Source organism: Homo sapiens, chromosome 8 (assembly GCF_000001405.40).
Source record: "Homo sapiens chromosome 8, GRCh38.p14 Primary Assembly".
Taxonomy (NCBI): domain Eukaryota; kingdom Metazoa; phylum Chordata; class Mammalia; order Primates; family Hominidae; genus Homo; species Homo sapiens.
Window position 1 is genome coordinate 47,763,621 of NC_000008.11, and position 19,641 is coordinate 47,783,261.

The window sequence follows — 19,641 nt, forward strand, 5'->3', positions numbered from 1 at the left end:
CGGCCACGCCAGACCAAGTCTTCTAAGGCAGTTCCTTGCAATGAACCTCCTAGTGTGTGTGAGTGTGTGTGTCTGTGTGGTGTGTGTGATATGAGTGTGGGGTGTGTGTGGTGTGGTTTGATGTGTGTGGGGTAATTGTGTGTGGTGTGTATGATGCTGTGTGTGATGCTGTGTGGAGCCTGTGGTGTGGTGTGTGTGGTGTATATGTGTGTGTCATGGTGTGTGGTGTGGTTGTGTGGTGTGTGCGTGATGGTGTGTGTGGTTGTGTGATGGGGTGTGTGGTATGGTTGTGTGGTGTGATGGGGTGTGTGGTGTGGTGATGTGTGTGATGGGATGTGTGTGATGTGTGTGTGGTGTGTGTGTGATGGGGTGTGTGGTGTGGTTCTGTGTGGTGTGGTTGATGGCGTGTGTGATGTGTGTGTGGTTGTGCGTGTGGTGTGTGATGGGGTGTATTGTGGGTGTGTGTGGTGTATGATGGTGTGTGTGTAGTTGTGTGTGTTGTGTGTGTGATGGGATGTGTTTGGTGTGGTTGTGTGGTGTGCGATGGGGTGTGTGGTGTGGTTGTGTATCGTTTGTGTGGTGTGTGATGGGGTGTGTGTGGTGTGGTTGTGTGTGCCCCTCTCCCTTACCGCTGCCTGCTCTGGGCCTAGCCCCTGACGCTCTGCAGCGTTGAAAACGTTGTGTCTCGCCCTCCAGGCCGGGAGCTGGATCCCAAGCGGGCTGGACCCGATGCCTCCCTTCCCCAAGCGTGGAGAGCGGCTGGATCCGCGGTGGGAGGCGGTGCTGTGAGAAGGCCCGGGGACCCCGCGCACAGAGGCGCCTTCCACACCATCAAGGGCGTGGCGGACACCTGCAGGCCCGGGAGACGCAGCAGCTTCTGAAGACCGAGCGGCGCCAAGTCCGTCTGGCCGTCTCTGGGGAAACTCCGTCCCCATCAGGTCCCTGGCGCTGGGGTTTTATTCAGTTTTCCCAAAACAAGAGGGGTGTGGGTCTGGGGCTCACAACCCAGTGCTGCACCCTGAGGCTCTGGCGTCCCAGGTCAGCCGCAGGGGCTGGGTCGCAGCCAGGAGGAAAGGGCTCGCCCCTGCCCCCGGGGGCCCCTCTGATAAGCAGGGGTGCAGGCAAGGAGGGAGGCCCCGGCGACAGGGCCGCCCACGCGGACTTTCTGCCCGCAGAGGAGGGGGCACACGGGATGGCGGCTCCCACGGGTCTCCTCTCATAGCTCCGCTTCCCACCTACCCGCACCCTCCCTCGGGTCTGTTCCCCTTGGGTGCACTCCCCTTAGCGCGGCCTAGGCACCAAGGAGCTGCTCTCGGCAGTGTTCACGAGATACAATGAATTGACCAGATCTGTCATAACTGATGGCCGTTCCTTCAGAAGCTCATTCCAGTCGCCCCACTTCCCACTACTGCCTTTGGGTTCCCTCACCACTCCACTGGAGAGCCCAGGCCACTTGATCCTTTCGGTTTCTGTGGTCTCCAGGGACTTTGTACGTAAGGTTTCATTTTCTATCAATTTGACCAATTTTTTTTTCCTCCTTTGTCTCAGGTGAGCATAAATGCATTTATCATTAACTACTTTGTGTATCAGTAGAGTTCAGAGTGTTGCAGGAAGTCAGGGACCCTGAACAGAGGGACCGGCTGAAGCCACGGCAGAACATAAATTGTGATTTCATGGACATTTATCACTTCCCCGATCAATACTCTTACAACTTCCTATGCCTGTCTTTACTTTAATCTCTTAATCCCGTCATCTTTGTAAACTGAGGATGTATGTTGCCTCAGGACCCTGTAATGACTGTGTTAACTCCACAAATTGTAAAACGTGTGTTTGAACAATATGAAGTCTGGGCACCCTGAAAAAGAACAGGATAACAGCAATGTTCAGGGCAAGGGAGATAACCATAAGGTCTGACTGCCTGTGGGGCTGGACAGAACAGTCATATTTTTCTTATTGCAAAAAACGAGTAGGAAAAATATCGCTGAATTCTTTCCCCAGTGAGGAATAACCCTGGGAACGGAATGCATTCCTAGGGGAGGCCTATGGACGGCCACTCTGGGGGTGTCTGCCTTATGCAGTTGAAGATAGGGGATGAAATATGCCCTGGTCTCCTGCACTGCCCTCAGGCTTGCTAGGATTAGGAAATTCCAGCCTGGAGAATTCTAGTCAGACCGGTTCTCTGCTCTTGAACCCTGTTTCCTGTTAAGATGTTTACCAATGACAATGCATGCACAGCAGGACATGGAACCTCACTGGTAATTCTAATTTCACCCTGGCCTTGTGACCTTGCTCTGCCCTTCTGCCCTTGTGATCTTTTATTGCCATTTGAAGCATGTGATCTCTGTAACCCACTCCCTATTCATACCCCCCTCCCCTTTTGAAATCCCTAATAAAAACTTGCTGGTTTTGCAGCTCAGGTGGGCATCACGGAACCTGCCGACATGTGATGTCACCCCGGGAGGCCGAGCTGTAAAATTTCTCTTTTGTACTCTTTATTTCTCAGACCAGCCGACACTTAGGGAAAATAGAAAACATACGTTGAAATATTGGGGGTGGGTTCCCCCAATACAGAGGACTTTTGTTTATTGTTATAAAGTTAATGTGTGGGCTGGGCGCGGTGGCTCAAACCTGTAATCTCAGCACTTTGGGAGGCCAAGGTGGGCAGACTGTTTGAGTCCAGGAGTTCGAGACCAGCCTGGGCAACATGGTGAAACCCCATCTCTACTAAAAATACAAAACATTAGCCAGGCATCGTGGCGTGAGCCTGTAGTCTCAGCTACTCAGGAGGCTGAAGTGGGAGAATCACCTGAGCCCAGAAGGTCAAGGCTGCAGTGAGCCATGATAGCACCACTGCACTCCAGCCTGGGCAACAGACTGAGACCCTGTCTCAAAAACAAACAACAGAAGAGGACACAAAAAAAGTGAAAGATATTCCATGCTTATGGTCTTGAAGAATGAATATTGTTAAAATGACAATTCTGCCCCAAAGCAATTTACACATTCAATGCGATCCCTATCAAAATACCAATGACATTCTTCACAGAAATAGAAAAAAAAAAATCCTAAAATTTGTATGGAACTAAAAAAGATGCCGAATAGCCAAAGTAATCCTGAGCAAAAAGAACAAAGCTGGCATCACACAACCTTTCTTCAAAATTTATTACAAAGCTATAGTAACCAAAATAGCATGGAACTGGCATAAAAACAGACACATAGATCAATGAGACAGAATAGAAAATCCAGATATAAATCCACGCATTTATAACCAACTCATCTTCTACAAAGGCACCCAGAACTTACAATGGGGGAAACGACAGTTTTCAATAAATGGTGCTGGGAAAACTGGATATCCACATGCAGAATGTGGACACCCCTAACTCTCACTTTACACAAAAATCACAGAAATGGATTAAAGACTTGAATCTAAGACCTGAAACTGTGAAACTACTACAAGAAAATGTTGGTTTGGAAACTCTCCAGGACATTGGTCTGGGCAAAAATGTTTTGCATAAGGCCTCAAAAGCGCAGGCAACCGAAATGGACAGTTGGGATTACATCAAGCCAAAAAGCTGCACAGCAAAATAATCAACATAGTAAAAAACAACCCGCAGAATGGGAAAAAATATTTGCAAACTACCCATTTGATAATGGATTCATAACCTGAATATATAAGGAGCTCAAACAACTCAATAGCTAAGTTGTATCAATTCAAACTATATTCTTAGAAATTTAAGCTATTAATTATAATCACCAGGATAACCACTAAGATAAAACTTTAAAACATACAGAAAAGAAAACGAGGGAATTCAAATGGAATACTAGCAAAATCAATCAAATACAAAACACTATTGGAGGAATTTAGGGGAAAAAGATTGAAATTTATAGAAAACAAACAGCAAAGTGACAGAAGTTGTTCCTAATCAAAAATCATTTTGAATGTAAATGTATTTAATCCACCAACTGAAAGAGAGATTGGCAGAATGGATTTTAAAAACATGACCTAACTACATGCTATCTACAGGTGACTTAAATCCAAAGGCACAACGAGATTTACAGTGAAAGGATGGAAAAATATTTTCCATGCATTAGTAACCAACAGAAAGCTGGCATGGCTGAGATTGTGCCATTGCACTCCAGTCTGGGCAACAAGAGCAAAACTCTGTCTCAAAAAAAAAAAAAAAAAAAAAAAAGAAAGCTGGCGTGACTACTAATAACAGAAAATAAGACTTTATAAGACTTTAAGTCAAAACTTGTTACAAGAGATAAAAAAAAGGGACGTTAGATATTGATAAAAGGTCAGTCCATCAAAAACATTGTAAGAATTATAAAGACACAAACGCCAAACAGCAAATCTCCAAAACATATGAAGCAAACATTGAACTGAAGGGAGAAGAGACAGATCGAAAATAATAGTTGAAGGTTGGGCATGGTGGCTCACGCCTGTAATCCAGGCACTTTGGGAGGTCGAGGTGGGTGGATCGCTTGAGGTCAGGATTTCGGGATTGGCCTGGCCAACATGGCAAAACCCCGTCTCTACTAAAAAAAATACAAATACAAATACAAAACTCAGCTGGGCATGGTGGCAGGTGCCTGTAGTCCCAGCTACTCGGGAGGCTGAGGCAGGGGAATTGCTTGAACCCGGGAGGCGGAGGTTGCAGTGAGCTGAGACCATGCCACTGCACTCCAGTCTGGGAGATGGAATGAGACTCCACCTCAAAAAAATTAAAATAAAATAATAGTTGGAGACCTCAATACCCCATTGTCAATAATGGAACATCTAAACATAACAATAAGGAAATAGCAGACTTGAACAACACTATCAACCATCTAAACCTAAGGGACACAAATCAAATCTCAATCACTTGGGATCAGGAATTCAAGACCAGCCTGGCCACCATGGTGAAACCCTGTCTCTGCTAATAATACAAAAATGGCCAGGCGCGGTGGCTCATACCTGTAATCCCAGCACTTTGGGAGGCCGAGGCAGGTGGATCACCTGAGGTCAGCAGTTCGCGGCCAGCCTGGCCAACACGGTGAAACCCGGTCTCCACTAAAAATACAAAAATTAGCTGGATGTAGTGGCAGGTGCTTGTAATCTCAGCTACTCAGGAGGCTGAGGTAGGAGAATTGCTGGAAGCCAGGAGGCAAAGGTGGCAGTAAGCCAAGATTGCGCCATTGCACTCCAGCCCAGGGGACAACAGCAAGACTCCGTCTCGAAAAAATAAAAATAAAAATAAAATACAAAAACTAGCCGGGTGTGATGGTGGGTACCTGTGAAATCCCAGCTACTTGGGAGGCTAAAGCAGGAGAATCGCTTAAAACTGGGAGGTGGAGGTTGCAGTGAGCCGAGATCACGCCACTGCACTCTAGCCTTGGCAACAGAGAGAGACCCTGTCTCAAAAAAAAAAAAAAAAAAAGAAAGAAAGAAAAAAGAAAAAAAAAAGGGAAAAACAAAATCAACAAAACAAAGTTGGTTCTTTGAAGAGGCTAACAAAATTGACTCACCTTTACCTATAAAGCTAAAAATGATTAAGCTATATTAAGAAAAAGAAAAAACAAATAACTATCAGAAATGAACACAGGGACACTACCACTAACCTTACCGAAATAAATGCCAGTGCATTAGATAAACTGGATGAAATGGACAAATTCCTAGAAACACACAAATTACCAAAACTGACTCAAGAAAAAATAGAAAATGTGAACAGATCTATAACAAGCAGTGATTGAATCAGCGATGAAAAACCTCCAACGAAGACAAAACTAGCACCACATGCCTTCACTGTTGAATTCCACAAAACCTTTAAATAATTAATACCAAATCTTTCTCAAACTCTTCCAGTAAATATCAGAGGAAGGAAAACTTTCTAACCCATTTTATGAAGCCAACACTACCCTGATAACAAGGTCAGACAAAGGCACCACAAGAAAACTAGAGATTAATATCTCCTCTTGATGCAAAAATCCTCGATGAAATATTAGCAAACTAAAACCAACAATTATAAAGGATTATTCACCATGGCCAGGTAGAATTCATCCCAGCAAAGAAAGTGTGGTTCAATATACAAATATAAATCGATATAATACATGACATTTATAGACTAAAGGAGAAAAACCACAGGTTCATTTTGATGCCAAAAAAAAAAAAAAAACCACTTGGGAAAATTCACCATTTCATAATAAAAACACTTACCAAACTTAGAAGGAACTTCTTCAACATGATAAAGGGCATTTATGAAAACCCACAGCTGGCCGGGCACAGTGGCTCACACCTGTAATCCCAGCACTTTGGGAGGCCGAAGCGGGTGGATCACGAGATTAGGAGATCAGGACCATCCTGGCCAACACCATGAAACCCCATCTCTACTAAAAATACAAAAAGTTAGCCCGTGTGGTGGTGCACGCCTGTATCCCAGCTACTCAGGAGGCTGAGGCAGGAGAATCGCTTGAACCCGGGAGGCGGAGGTTGCAGACCACTGCACTCCAGCCTGGGTGACAGAGCAAGACTCCGTCTCAAAAAAAAAAAAAAAAGAAAAAAAAGAAAAGAAAACCCACAGCTAACATCACACTCAATGGTAAGAGATGAAAACTTTCTCCCTAAGACTAGGAACAAGAGAAGGATGCCCACTTTTACCACTGCTGCTCAGCATTGTGCTGAATGTTCTAGCCAGAACAATTAGGTAAGAAAAAAGAAAAGGTAGTCAAATTGGAAAAGAAATAAAACTGTCTCTACGCACAGAAGACATCATCCTATATACAGAAAATCCGAAATACAAAAAATAAATACTAAAGCTATTAAGTTAATTCAGCAAAGTTGCAGGAGAAAAGACCAACACACAAAATAAGCATTTGTATACACTAGCAATGAATAATCTGGAAACAAAGTTAGGAAAAACAATTCCATTTACAACAATATCCAAAAGAACAAAATAGCTAGGAATACATTTAACCAAGGAAACAAAACATTAGAAATATTTAAAACTACTGAAAATTGCAAACCATTGTTGAAAGAAACTAAACAAGATATAAATAAGTGGAAATGCATTCTGTGCTCGTGGATTGAAATACAGTATTGTTAAGATGGCAATTACCCAAAGCAATCTGCAGATTCAATGCAATTCCTATCAAAGCCCAATGGCCTTTTCACTTTTTGAAAAGCTGATCCTTAATTTCTTTTTTTGAGACACTGTCTCAAAAATAAGTGTGTCGCCCAGGCTGGAGTGCAGTGGCATGATCCCTAAATTCTTTACTTTCATAAAATATTCAAAAGCAACTTCATGCAACTCCAGAGCTGTATTTTCATTTTAATACAGACAACATTCTGAAGCTCAAAGAGTTTTTGGCAGGACAGGTGCAGTGGCTCACGCCTGTAATCCCAACACTTTGGGAGGCTGAGGCAGGCAGATCACCTGTCAGGAGTTTGAGACCAGCCTGGCCAACATGGTGAAACCCTATCTCTACTAAAAACACAAAATACAAAATTTAAAGTACAAAAATTAGCCGGGCGTGGTGGTGCGCGCCACTAGTCCTGGCTACTCGGGAGGCTGAGGCAGGAGAATCACTTGAACCCGGGAGGTGGAGGTTGCAGTGAGCTGAGAAAGCGCCAATGCACTCCAGCCTGGGCAACAGTGAATCTCAAAAAAAAAAAGTTACTGGTCATTAGTTAATAAACGGTGCTTTAAAAATTCTCGTCAGTGAAATAATTTTTATGTACTTATTTTTTTGAGACAGAGTCTCGCTTTGTCGCCCAGGCTGGAGTGCAGTGGCGCCATCTCAGCTCACTGCAAGCTCCGCCTCCCCGGTTCATGCCATTCTCCCGCCTCCTGAGTAGCTAGGACTATAGGCGCCTGCCACCACGCCTGGCTAATTTTTTCTATTTTTAGTAGAGACGGGGTTTCACCGTGTTAGCCAGGATGGTCTTGATTTCCTGACCTCGTGATCCACCGCCTCAGCCTCCCAAAGTGCTGGGATTATAGGCATGAGCCACCACGCCCAGCCAATAATTTATATTTCTTATAGTTTTTAAAAGTTGAATTCTTTACTAAATTATTCCTATGGCTTTGTTCTGTTGACTATCATGTGCCAGACTATTAGGTGTTGACAAGATAGTGATTAGGACACAGTACTTGTCCTAAAGGAGTTTATTATATACTTGGGTTTTTAGTCTGACAAACTACTAAAATAAATATTCATAAGCATGGGATCATTCAAGTCTTCATTAAGCTTAAATCGGAAACTTCCTGGGTTATTTTGGGGTTGAAGAACAAATGTTTCATATACAACCTGAATATCAAAATCTGTTTATAATGTAAATATTACCATTCATATCATTCATATTTCCTTGTAATTGTAATCAGTGTTAAGTGTTTTTTGTTTGGTTTCCAAATCAAATATTCTTATTCAGCAAGAATCACAAGTTAAAGTTTGAGCCCCAGTGATGATTCAGATGTGCAGTTCCTTCGTTGTGTAATGACCATTTAACATCTAGTGTAACTTTATGAATGTTTTCTGAATGCTGTACACAGCATGTTTCTTCTTACTGCATTCTCGTGAGCAATGATGAACTTTTTGAGCACACAGCTTTGAGACTGGAACCACACACACAACCTGTAACAATCTTTTTTTTTTTTTTTTTTTTTTTGAGACTGAGTTTTGCTCTTGTTGCCCAGGCTGGAGTGCAATGGCATGATCTTGGCTCACCGCAACCTCCGCCTCCTGGGTTCAAGCGATTCTCCTGCTTCAGCCTCCCGAGTAGCTGGGATTACAGGCATGCACCACCACGCCTGGCTAATTTTGTACTTTTAGTGCAGACGGGGTTTCTCCATGTTGGTCAGGCTGGTCTCGAACTCCCGACCTCAGGTGATCCACCCGCCTCGGCCTCCTAAAGTGCTGGAATTACAGGCGTGAGCTGCCACACCTGGCTGTAACAATCAACTTCTATTGATATGAAAAGTAGTCATTAAAAAAACAGGGTTTCCCACAATGTAGGTGATCCATTTAATGAATGTAGCCCGAATTATCAGGACTCAAGCAAGAATTATAGCTAATTAGTTGTTACAGAAAACAATATATTATCAACTTACTCCAAAGTGGGCTTACTTTGGTCATTTTTGTGCAAAAATATTTACTAGATCATGTGCACCAGATTTTTCACACACACGATTACTTATTTTTCTTTACAGATGAAATTTGGTTCAATAGGTGTCATTTGTTGAGAAGATAAATTTGTTATTTTTAAAAATAGACATGGGATCTCATTATGTTGCCCACGTTGGTCTTTAACTCCTGGGCTCAAGGAGTTCAAGCCTTGGCCTCCCAACATGCTTGGATCACAAGTGTACGCCATTGTGCCTGGCCATAAATGTTTATTTTAAATGCCATAATGCATTTAACCCGCATTTATCAGAACAAACTAGGCAAGTAATATAATAAACTATTTTGTAAGATGAATATTTTGCTCTTGAAACTGCATAAAAGAGATACACACTACTTTTGGAAAAAAACTTTATTAAACACTCAAGAGTATACTTCTCAAAATCACAGAAGAGCCTCCAAATACAAGTGTTAGAAGGAAAAAAAAAAACAACAAAAAGCTAAAAGCCAATCAGAAACAGTTTGGGTGTGGAGGACTGGCGGGGGGGGACAGGGACTGCACATGGGAAGGAGCCACTTTTGTATTCCATAATTTCATCTTGTTGTGCTAGAATGCATGCTTTTTTTCCTCCAAATGAGGAATTCATTTCAAATAGGAATTTCTTTTATTCTCCTGGAACTGAAATGCTTAGTACTATCCCTAACAACAACCATGGGATTTTTGAAGTTATCCCAAATTCAATGCAAAGCACTTTTATGTATCTTCCAGTTGTAGATTGGAATAGCAAAAGTGAATGCTATGACCAAAATTTTTGCCCTCCTAAATAAAGACGTTTCCTTCTAGAGAGCAAATCTATCATAAAATGTCAAAACTAGAAGAGAATAAAATGAAAGGAAAAAACCTAGAAAAATATCCTAAAATATCAAATGCAGTCATTTCTAAATATAAGCCATAATTATAGCTTTACCTATTGTTCTTATTGTTCCTATGCTGCTTCTACAATGTTACATCAACTATACTTAGCTTTACTCTCCCAAAATCTTGGTGATGAAGCCTTCTGAGTGTGCTTTCCAATGTGCCAGAACCAGAAGGGCATTCCAAGGCTTCCCCACATTTCCTCCATTTACGGAGACAGCTGTTTCACTAACTTGCAGCACTTGTAAATGCTTTGAAAGCTGATCACATATTATATTCTTGACTTAATACTTTGGTAAGCCTGGATATCTATCTTTCTATAAACCTCACCTAATCTTTGATGTTACTATAACCTTATCTTTGATTTAACCCATACACATTTACTCATCATAATCTTGATTTAAACTCATGCTACGAAACTGTAGCACAAAAGACATTTCTCTTTAGTGTTTCAGGAAAATCAGCTCATGGAATGCTGCCAACCAAAGTATAGTAGATTCTTTAAACAATGTAATGCTTTCTATCTGCAGACTCCCACAGACCTCACATCCAGGGCTCCCATCCTTCCCAGGTTCTGCCAAGGATGTTGGGGTCTGTTGCCTGGTCCATCAGGCACTTCACTTGAGTCTCTTCTGAAAGCCCACTCTCTGGTTCTTGGGCACGAATGTTGTGATCTTTGCTTCCTCGTGCCACAGCCACATAGTCTCTGAAGGCAGGGGCCTTCTCATGACCCAGGAGTAGCTCATCACTGGAAAAAAAACAAACACAGAAAACACAAAGCATGTGTCATTGTCCTTTGTTGCCTGCATCCCTAGTGATCCTATCCAAACACATTCCCCACGTCATCACTCACAGAGTATTTTCTGTGGCTTATAACCTTGAAGTCAAAGACTGGATTTGTAGGAAAACAGAACATGAATTATGCTGCTCAAGTTTTTGTGTGAATGTATGCCTTCACTTCTCCTGAGTGAATTCCTAGGATTCACCTAGGAGTGGCATTGATGGGTCCAATGGTAACTCTATGTTTAACTTTGTGAAGAACTGCCACTTTCCCACAGCAGCTGCACCTTTTCCCACTCCCACCAGCAGAGTATGAGGAGTCCACCTTCTCTACATCCTCAACACTTGTTAGATTCCTTTTTTTTTAATTAAAAAAAGAGAAAGTTTTAAAAATTTTTGGTAGAGACAGGGTCTTGCTATGTTGCCCAGGCTAGACTTGAACTCCCGGGCTCTAGTTATCCTCCTGCCTTGGCCTCCCAAAGTGCTGGGATTACAGGTGTGAGCCACTGCATTAGCCCCATTTTAAAATTATAGTCATCTGGCAAGGCGTGGTGGCTCGCCTGAGGTCAGGAGTTCAAGACCAGCCTGGCCAACATGGCGAAACCCCATTTCTACTAAAAATACAAAAATTACCAGGCGTGGTAGCATGAACCTATAATTCCAGCTACTCAGGAGGCTCGGACAGGAGGATCGCTTGAACCCAGGAGGTGGGGGTTGCAGTGAGTCCATATCGTGCCATTGCACTCCAGCCTGGGTGACAGAGCAAGACTTTGTCTCAAAAATAAATAAATAAATAAATAAATAAATTAATTAATTAATAGCCATCCTAGCAGGTGTGAGGTAGTATCTCACTTGGATTTCCCTGATGACTAGTGACGTTGAGCATTTTTGCATGCCGCTTATTGGCCATTTGTATATTTTCATTAAAGAAATGTCAGTTCAAGTCTTTTGACCATTTTTTTTTTTTTTTTTTTTTTTTTGAGACAGGGTCTTGCTCTGTCACCCAGGCCGGAGTGCAATGGCGTGATCTCGGCTCACTGCAACCTCTGCCTCCTGGGTTCAAGTGATTCTCCTGCCTCAGCCTCCCTAGTAGCTGGGATTACAGGTGTGAGCCACTGCGCCCAGCCCTGACCATTTTTAATTGGGTTATCTATCTACCTATTATTAGGCAATAAGAGTTTTTTTAATGTATTCTAGATACAAGTCCCATATCAGATACATGACTTGCAAATATTTTATCCCATTTGGAAGGCTGAAACACCTTCTTGATAGCACTCTGTGAAGCACAAAATTGTTTAATTTTGATGAAGTCCAATGTATATATTTGTTTCTTGCTTGTGCTTTCAGTGTCATACCTAAAAAATGGCAAGTATCACAACAAAATCCAAGGTCAGGATGATTTACTCCTATTCCTTTTTTTTTTTTTTTTCTGAGGCAGAGTCTCACTTTGTCGCCTAGGCTGGAGTACAGTGGTGCCATCTTGGCTCACTGCAACCTCCGCCTCCCCAGGTTCAAGTCATTCTCCTCCCTCAGCCTCCCTAGCAGCTGGGATTACAGGTGCGCACCACCATGCCCAGCTAATTTTTGTATTTTTAGTAGAGATGGGGTTTCACCTTGATGGCCAGGGTGGTCTCGAACTCCTGACCTCAAGTGATCCACTAGCCTTGGCCTCCCAAAGTGTTGAGGCGTGAGCCACCACGCCCAGCTGATTTACTCCTATTTCTAAGTGTTTTATAGTTTTGACTCTTACACTTAGCTCTCTGATCCATTCTGAATTAATTTTTCCACATGGTGTGAAACAAGGACCTAACTTCATTCTTTTGCCAGCGCTATTTGTTGGAAAGGTCACTGAATGGTCTTGGCACCCTTGTCAAAAATAAGTTGACAATAGATTGCCACTATTACTTAATTCTAAAGTCCAACTTTTTTCATTCCTATGAATCATCTCCATAAATTTCTATTTGCTTTAGACCTCAACAAGAGAAAACTTTAAGGCTAACCTAAAAGCCAACCCAAATTGAATTCTCATCTAACAAGCCCACACAGTGCTTTTCATACCTAGGTACTATATTCATCAGGGTCAAACGCCCTAAAAAGGACAAAAGCAAATTTAAAACCTAAGTCTCCTCATGCATGTAACAATATTCTGGCAACTGTCTAAGAGTGCACCTTCTGTTTCTCCAATTGGCGCCACTGTTCCAGGGACTGAGTTTAAACCTGAAGACAGTGCAGGGGTCACATACGTCAGAGTTGCAGGCCTTGCCCTGGCTTTGGGGAAGTCAGCCTCTCTAAGCCCTGCTTTCCTCCTCAATGAAAGCAGAGAAGTCATGCTAACAGAGTGTCAAGAGCTCAGCACTTTGTATATATGTTGGCTCCTCGAGAAACAGTAGCATGTCGGTAGTCCGTTAGTTTTTTCCACATATAAAAATCTTACCAAGTAATGACTGCTGGATTGGCACCTGCTAACTTTCTCTTAGCGTAACATATTTTCTGTCGGGGGTACCAATTTTTTTCAGCAACATTTATTTCTTGAATCCATGACCCTCCTTTTTTCAGCATTTTCTGTTCAAAATTCTAGAAGAAAAGAACATGATTTTCCCGGCTGATCATAATGGTATATACAATCATGCCCAAACAGATTAAATCTAGTAATGATCTTAAAGTAAACAAACATCTATAACCAGGAGCAGCCTTGCTTTCTACAGCTACAAAGCTGTTCATACAGACTCCATGGCACACACATCACGAGACGAGGGGCCTCAGCAGTCCCCTTATTTCTCCAAATAAAGGTTTTGCCTGTTAATTTTTTTTTTTTTGAGGCGGAGTTTCACTCTTGTCACCCAGGCTGGAGTGCAGTGGCGTGATCTCGGCTCACTGCAACCTCTGCCTCCTGGTTTCAAGCCATTCTCCTGCCTCAGCCTCCCAAGGAGCTGGGATTACAGGTGTGCGTTACCACGCCCAGCTAATTTCTGTATTTTTAGTAGAGACAGGGTTTTACCATGTTGGCCAGGCTGGTCTCCAACTCCTGACCTCAGGTGATCCTCCCGTCTCTGCCTCCCAAAGTTTTGGGATTATAGGTGTGAGCCACTGGGCCCAGCCTCTTAACTGGTTTTCAAGCAGACAATCCTAAATACTAACTTTGAGAAATGCTGTACAAAATAATGTAAATATTTTCATCAACATGACTCAATGCACTTCCATCATACACGAGAGATACCAGCTTGATCACGGGGACACTGTCACAAAAGTGAAAAGTGCACATGAAACAAAACCTACTTTCCAATCAAAGGAGGGCTCCTTGACAAACACATCCATGGTGTTGGTGAGCAGGCCAGGGTCTGAGCGGAAGGCCCGGAGTGCGTGTACCATGATGCTGTACATAAGGCCCGTTTCTTTCATTGGTAACATCAGATTGATAAACTGGCGAGTTAGCCGAAAAGGCATCAACTCAGGGACTGGCAGAAACTAAACAAGAAAAAAGGCAAGGAGCAGAATATGTAAGCCAGAACTCTCAAAGTACCGAGCACAAATGGCAGCATCCTCACATAGTTACTGTTCACATTTAGTAAAAATACAGACTCTGCTTCCCTTGAAATCAGCTACACAGATGTGAGTTCCTATGCTCGAGAGTAACCCCCTCGGCTTGAGTTATCCCTCAATGCAAAACCCACGTGCACAGGACACAGGGCCGCAGAGATTGAGAAGGATGATCCAAAACATTCAGAGGTTAACCAGAGAAAAGATCTGTATCACATTTTTGACCAGACATTTTTATTACGGGGCTTCCTAAAACTTTCTTAGAGTCTTCCTTTGATCTGCGAACACATTTAATTACCGGCTCTGATGATATCACTGATCACCATGACTTCTGTGACCTGACTGAATGAGGCTGAACTAAGTGATTATCCCTTTCTGCATTCAATGACCATGACAAAACGAATCTAACTAATATGTTGTTTTTCCTTAAAAACTGTCTATTTCTGGAGGTTGTTGAAAGTCCTATGATGACTCTCGCCTTGCCCAGGATCACGAGAGCACAGCAAGTGCACCTGTGTAGCGGATCCAAACGCATGCCCAAAGTCGATCCCGATCACGCCGCCAGTCTCCATGGCCACCATAAAGTTGTTCAGATGTCTGTCTCCAATCCCGAGGATCCAGTGGCTGATGCATATCAGAGCGTGAGAGCTGGCGAAGTGGGAGCGGAGCGCCAGGAAAGCCTCAGGGCTTGTACTCATCCTCACGAAGGCCCGCCTACAAAAGAGACACAGCTGTGCGGCTGCTGTGATCCCACTAAGGGTGAGGGCAGAAGGGTACTTACTTTAAGAGATCAGCAGGCACTTTACTTTCTCGTTTTCTAAAAGACGTGACTGTTTCAGTACGATTAGCGCCCCTATGATTTAATAATAGAAACATCTAATTAGAAAAAATTTCTCTGACTTAAAATTTAAATTTTAAAACTTTTTGTTTATATTGAGACTCAAATATCGAATAATCTTGATGATCTCTCTGAGGCAAAGCTAAGAATCAAAAGAAAACATGCAATTTGCAGAAGAATGAACTAACTAATACAAAGAAAAATCAAAACCAAACTTACTTATACATTAGCATGTAAGCTCCAACATCATGTTTTCCTGACATTTTTGTCAGCCAATCTTTATATTCACACGGCGGTGCCCTGGGATCACTAATGAGTGAGAAAAGGGGAATTGGAATTAGGAAGATTTTAGCATTATGTGATTTCAAAGGCAAAGATCACCAAGAATTCATTGAAAAATAGCAAAGAGGCAGGAAAAAATAATAAGACTTTTAACCATATTCAATATTAACATTGAACCCACATTACTCTGGATCTTGAATTTCAATATACCATTATTCATTCTTAATTACTCCTAAAGAAATCCAAGCTATTGCCTATGAAAAATTCAGGTACAAAACCATCAGATCCAACAAATTTCCCACTGACATAGAGAGGAATAAGATGAACTAAACATAACTGTTTATTAACCAGGCATGCAATTCTGAAACTTTGACCTAGAAAGAACCATAGCAAGAGGGCGACAGCACCACAGGCGGCTGCTGGAAGCCTCAGGCCATGTCACTACCATAGCCAAAAAGCCCGCACAGTTTTGCTAAAGATGGATTATGTCTGTTTTTATCTTTATTTAGACCACTTCCACATCTTTTTCTTTTGTTTTTTTGAGATGGGAGTCTAGCTCTGTCGCCAGGCTGGAGTGCAGTGGTGCGATCTTGGCCCACTGCAACCTCTGCCTCATGGATTCAAGTGATTCTCCTGCTTCAGCTTCCTGAGTAGCTGGGATTACAGGCAAATGCCACCATGCTCAGCTAATTTCTGTATTTTTAGTAGAGACGGGGTTTCACCACGTTGGCCAGGCTGGTCTCGAATGCCTGACCTCGTGATCCGCCCGCCTCGGCCTCCCAAAGTGCTGGGATTACAGGTGTGAGCCACCACGCCTGGCCTCTTTTTCTTTTGTTTTGTTTTGTCTTTTTTTTTTTTTTTTTTTTGAGACAGAGTCTTACTCTGTCGCCCAGGCTGGAGTGCATTGGTGCAATCTCGGCTTGCTACAACCTCTACCTCCTGGGTTCAAGCAATTCTCATGCCTCAGCCTCCTAAGTGGCTGGGATTACAGGCGCCCGCCACTACACCCAGCTAATTTTTCTATTTTCAGTAGAGACAGGGTTTTGCCATGTTGACCAGACTGGTCTCGAATTCCTGACCTCAGGCGATCCGCCCACCTTGGCCTCCCAAAGTGCTGGGATTACAGGCGTGAGCTACTGCGCCCAGCCAGTGCCACATCTTTCTTTATATTTCCAATAGGTAGATATACACACAATCCATAGTAAGTATGAGAAAATATTTTGTTTTTCTTTTTTCTTCCAATAAGGCTTCTGCACTCCTATGAGAAAATATTTTCTTAAATGACAATGGATGTTTAAGTGAACTTGAAAAGCTGTTTTCAGTGTTTCCTAGGAAAAAGGCAGTACCTGGGCAATGGGAAACAATGTGATACACGTATGTTTAAGTACTTTTGTGTGGAAAGCTTTAACAAGTTTTCCCGATAAAATCTAAAGACAGAACAGTTTCACGTGTGACTTAGCAATTCAATCACTTCAGGTGAAATCTTTTCTGAGTTGCTATTAAAGTTAGCTTTAAAAGTAGTCCACTCCATCTTAAAATTCTCTCCTCCTAGTTTAAACTGAGATGAAAATTCTTAGGTTATAAAACTGTAGGCCGGGCGCAGTGGCTCAGGCCTGTAATCCCAGTACTTTAGGAGGCCAATGGGGGCGGATCACGAGGTCAAGAGATCAAGATCATCCTGGCCAACATAGTGAAATCCCATCCCTACTAAAAATACAAAAATTAGCTGGGCATGGTGGTGCACGCCTGTAATCTCAGCTACTCGGAAGGCTGAGGCAGGAGAATTGCTGGAACCCGGGAAGCGGAGACCACAGTGAGCCGAGATCACGCCACTGCACTCCAGCCTGGTGATAGAGAGAGACTCTGTCTCAAAAAAACAAAACACTGTAACATGCTGAATTAAGAAAAAAAACAGCAAGGATTTAAATAATGGGTATTGGAAGTGCCCTGTAAAAAGGCAGTTGGAAATTATTTTCATAATTCCATTATGTAAGGTGCTTTCAACTCTCCTGGTACCTATGTTAATCCTGTGCGGTTCCACGCTACCATTCCATCCCACAAATGCAGGCAGGTACCACAGGAAAGGCGACACCTGCTTGGCACCTGCATTGTCAGGCAGAGCCTCAGTGCCAGGGCCAGATCTGCAATTTGTGAGACTCCAGGAAGCGTGCTCATCAGTTGCCCTGTCTTCCAGGGAAAGTAGAAACAATTCTAAGCAAAGGACTCAAATGTCTGGAACTAAAAGTTGGTGAACACTGCCCTGTAGAGTAATTATCACCTGGGAATATGAGTTTGATAAGAATATGTTTGATATTTTCAGAAATCTTTCCTGACTGAAGGGAACACTGCTCCTATTTAAAAACTTTTAAAAAAGAATCAGAGAACATCAAAGAGAAAGAAGCCCTGAAGCTGTTCCTTTATCCTACAGCTTGTCACCCAAACCTGTCAACTTTGGTTGTCAAAATCTGTCAACCCTCAAAATGTTTCTCATGTTGTCCTTGTTTTTCTTTACAAAAACAAAAAGGAAATAAAAAAAACCTTGTGGTTAAAATGTACATGTTAATTGTAGAAAACTTGGAAAATAGAGAAAAGGATACAGAAAAATAAAAAAGCATCCACATCATGACCTAGAATTACTAGTAATCCCAGCTACCCCACTTTACAGGCTAAGTGACACAGGACAGGTTACTTGACCTTTCTGGGCCTCAGCTTCCTCATCTGTATAGCAGTGATAATAATACTTACCTTGCAGGTTGTTGGTGAGAAGTAAATTGGTTCATACACGTTAAAAATTGAGAACAGTACCTAGCCCACAGAAAATGTTTTACTACATGTTATCTGATAATTTTATTATTATTTATTTCCTTCAACAATTTTTCTTCCCCCCACCCAAAGTTAATAAATATTTTGTATTACGGTAAAATATCTGCAACTACTGGTTAGCAGCCAGCACTCCATTTGGTTTATTGACCCAGCCAGCAGACTGCGGGGCAGGCAGTGTGGGCTCTCGAGCGCGCCTGTCACGGCCCCGACCTGCCACTGGAGAAGTGAGGGGAGGCGACTGCTGGGGGAGCAGGGCGTGTGGCCGCCCTTACCTCAGGTAAGCCGCCTTCTCCTCTTGGGACATGGTGTTCAAAAGAAGGTCCTTCAAGGTAACAGTATTTTCAAGCCACTCAATTAATCCTAACCTGAAAGGGAGAATAAAAGGTTAACGAGTAAACCCAAACTGCTCTTTCTTCACTAGAAAAACAGTCCCGTGGACGCCAAGCAATATGCAGCAGCCTACTGGCTGGGAGCAGCCTGGCAGTTACCTGGAGGTCATGGGCACAACGCTATAGGTCCTCAGCTGCAGGGCCCTCTGGCTGCAGGCGGAGTCTTGGGCCAGGATCCCATTCATGACCTGGAAGAGCTGCTCCACGCGCTGGTCCTGCCGCAGGTCCTCGCCACCCTTCACCAGGAAAGGGTGTTCCCTCTCGTCATGGCCACGGATGATGATGCGCTTGGGCCTTCGCAGAGACGCCATGACTGTCACCTTCAAAAATCAGAATGTCATCTCAGGGCACAGGCTAGCCACGTGTCAAACTCAGAGGGAAAAGCCAGAGTGGCTGTGAGCATTCCTCCGTGGGGCCGCCCTCTGAAGACAGTGCCAAAGAGCAGAGCGCCCAGGCCAGCAACGAATTTCTGCTACCTGCTTGTGCCTGACTGCTGTGCCCGCAGAAATGTTGTATTCCTGATTATAAATACTTGCTTATGAATGTGGATATCTTTAGCAAGCAGCAACAGCCAACATGCAAACTTTCTACAGTAGTAAGCTAATGCTACACATATTTTATAGTGGATACTCACACACAGCTTACTCTTTGAGTTTATGATATCTTAAATAGAACTGTTGTTCAAACACTGGAGACATAATATATTAAGAAACCCAGGGCCGGGAGCAGTGGCTTACGCCTGTAATCCCAGCACTTTGGAAGGATGGGGCAGGTAGATCACTTGAGCTCAGGAGTTCGAGACCAGTCTGGCCAACATGGTCAAACCTTGTCTCTACTAAAAATACAAAAATTAGCCAGGCATGGTGGCGCACACCTGTATCCCAGCTACTAGGGAGGCTGAGACATGGAGAATCGCCCGAACCCAGGGTGTGGAGGTTGCAACGAGCTGAGAATGGGCCACTGCACTCCAGCCTGGCTGACAG

General features: G+C 43.3%; 1 protein-coding gene across 2 annotated transcripts in view, besides 2 other annotated features; it reads right to left on the reverse strand.

The window, feature by feature from the left end:
* Window positions 775–914: an enhancer, noted in NCBI's record as "active region_27329". NCBI's record gives its function as "activates an Ori minimal core promoter by ATAC-STARR-seq in GM12878 lymphoblastoid cells {active_cell/tissue: GM12878}" and the evidence as "EXISTENCE:reporter gene assay evidence [ECO:0000049][PMID:35858748]".
* Window positions 1,936–2,503: an enhancer, noted in NCBI's record as "OCT4-NANOG hESC enhancer chr8:48678117-48678684 (GRCh37/hg19 assembly coordinates)". NCBI's record gives its function as "activates a minimal SCP1, AML or CMV promoter by ChIP-STARR-seq in naive and primed H9 embryonic stem cells {active_cell/tissue: H9 hESC(naive and primed)}" and the evidence as "EXISTENCE:reporter gene assay evidence [ECO:0000049][PMID:30033119]".
* PRKDC (protein kinase, DNA-activated, catalytic subunit) overlaps window positions 9,491–19,641 on the reverse strand; it is a 187,026-nt gene continuing 176,875 nt past the window's right edge. Inside the window, exons 79-86 of one of the 2 annotated variants that reach the window (NM_006904.7) lie at window positions 18,758–18,978; window positions 18,542–18,634; window positions 15,384–15,473; window positions 15,108–15,179; window positions 14,839–15,040; window positions 14,066–14,254; window positions 13,224–13,363; window positions 9,491–10,757 (exon numbers count right to left, since the gene is read on the reverse strand). In NM_006904.7, coding sequence (NP_008835.5) covers window positions 10,553–10,757; window positions 13,224–13,363; window positions 14,066–14,254; window positions 14,839–15,040; window positions 15,108–15,179; window positions 15,384–15,473; window positions 18,542–18,634; window positions 18,758–18,978 — 1,212 coding nt within the window. In that variant the 3' untranslated portion in view covers window positions 9,491–10,552. The remainder of the gene's footprint in view (window positions 10,758–13,223; window positions 13,364–14,065; window positions 14,255–14,838; window positions 15,041–15,107; window positions 15,180–15,383; window positions 15,474–18,541; window positions 18,635–18,757; window positions 18,979–19,641) is intronic. The other variant, NM_001081640.2, reaches the window with a different exon arrangement.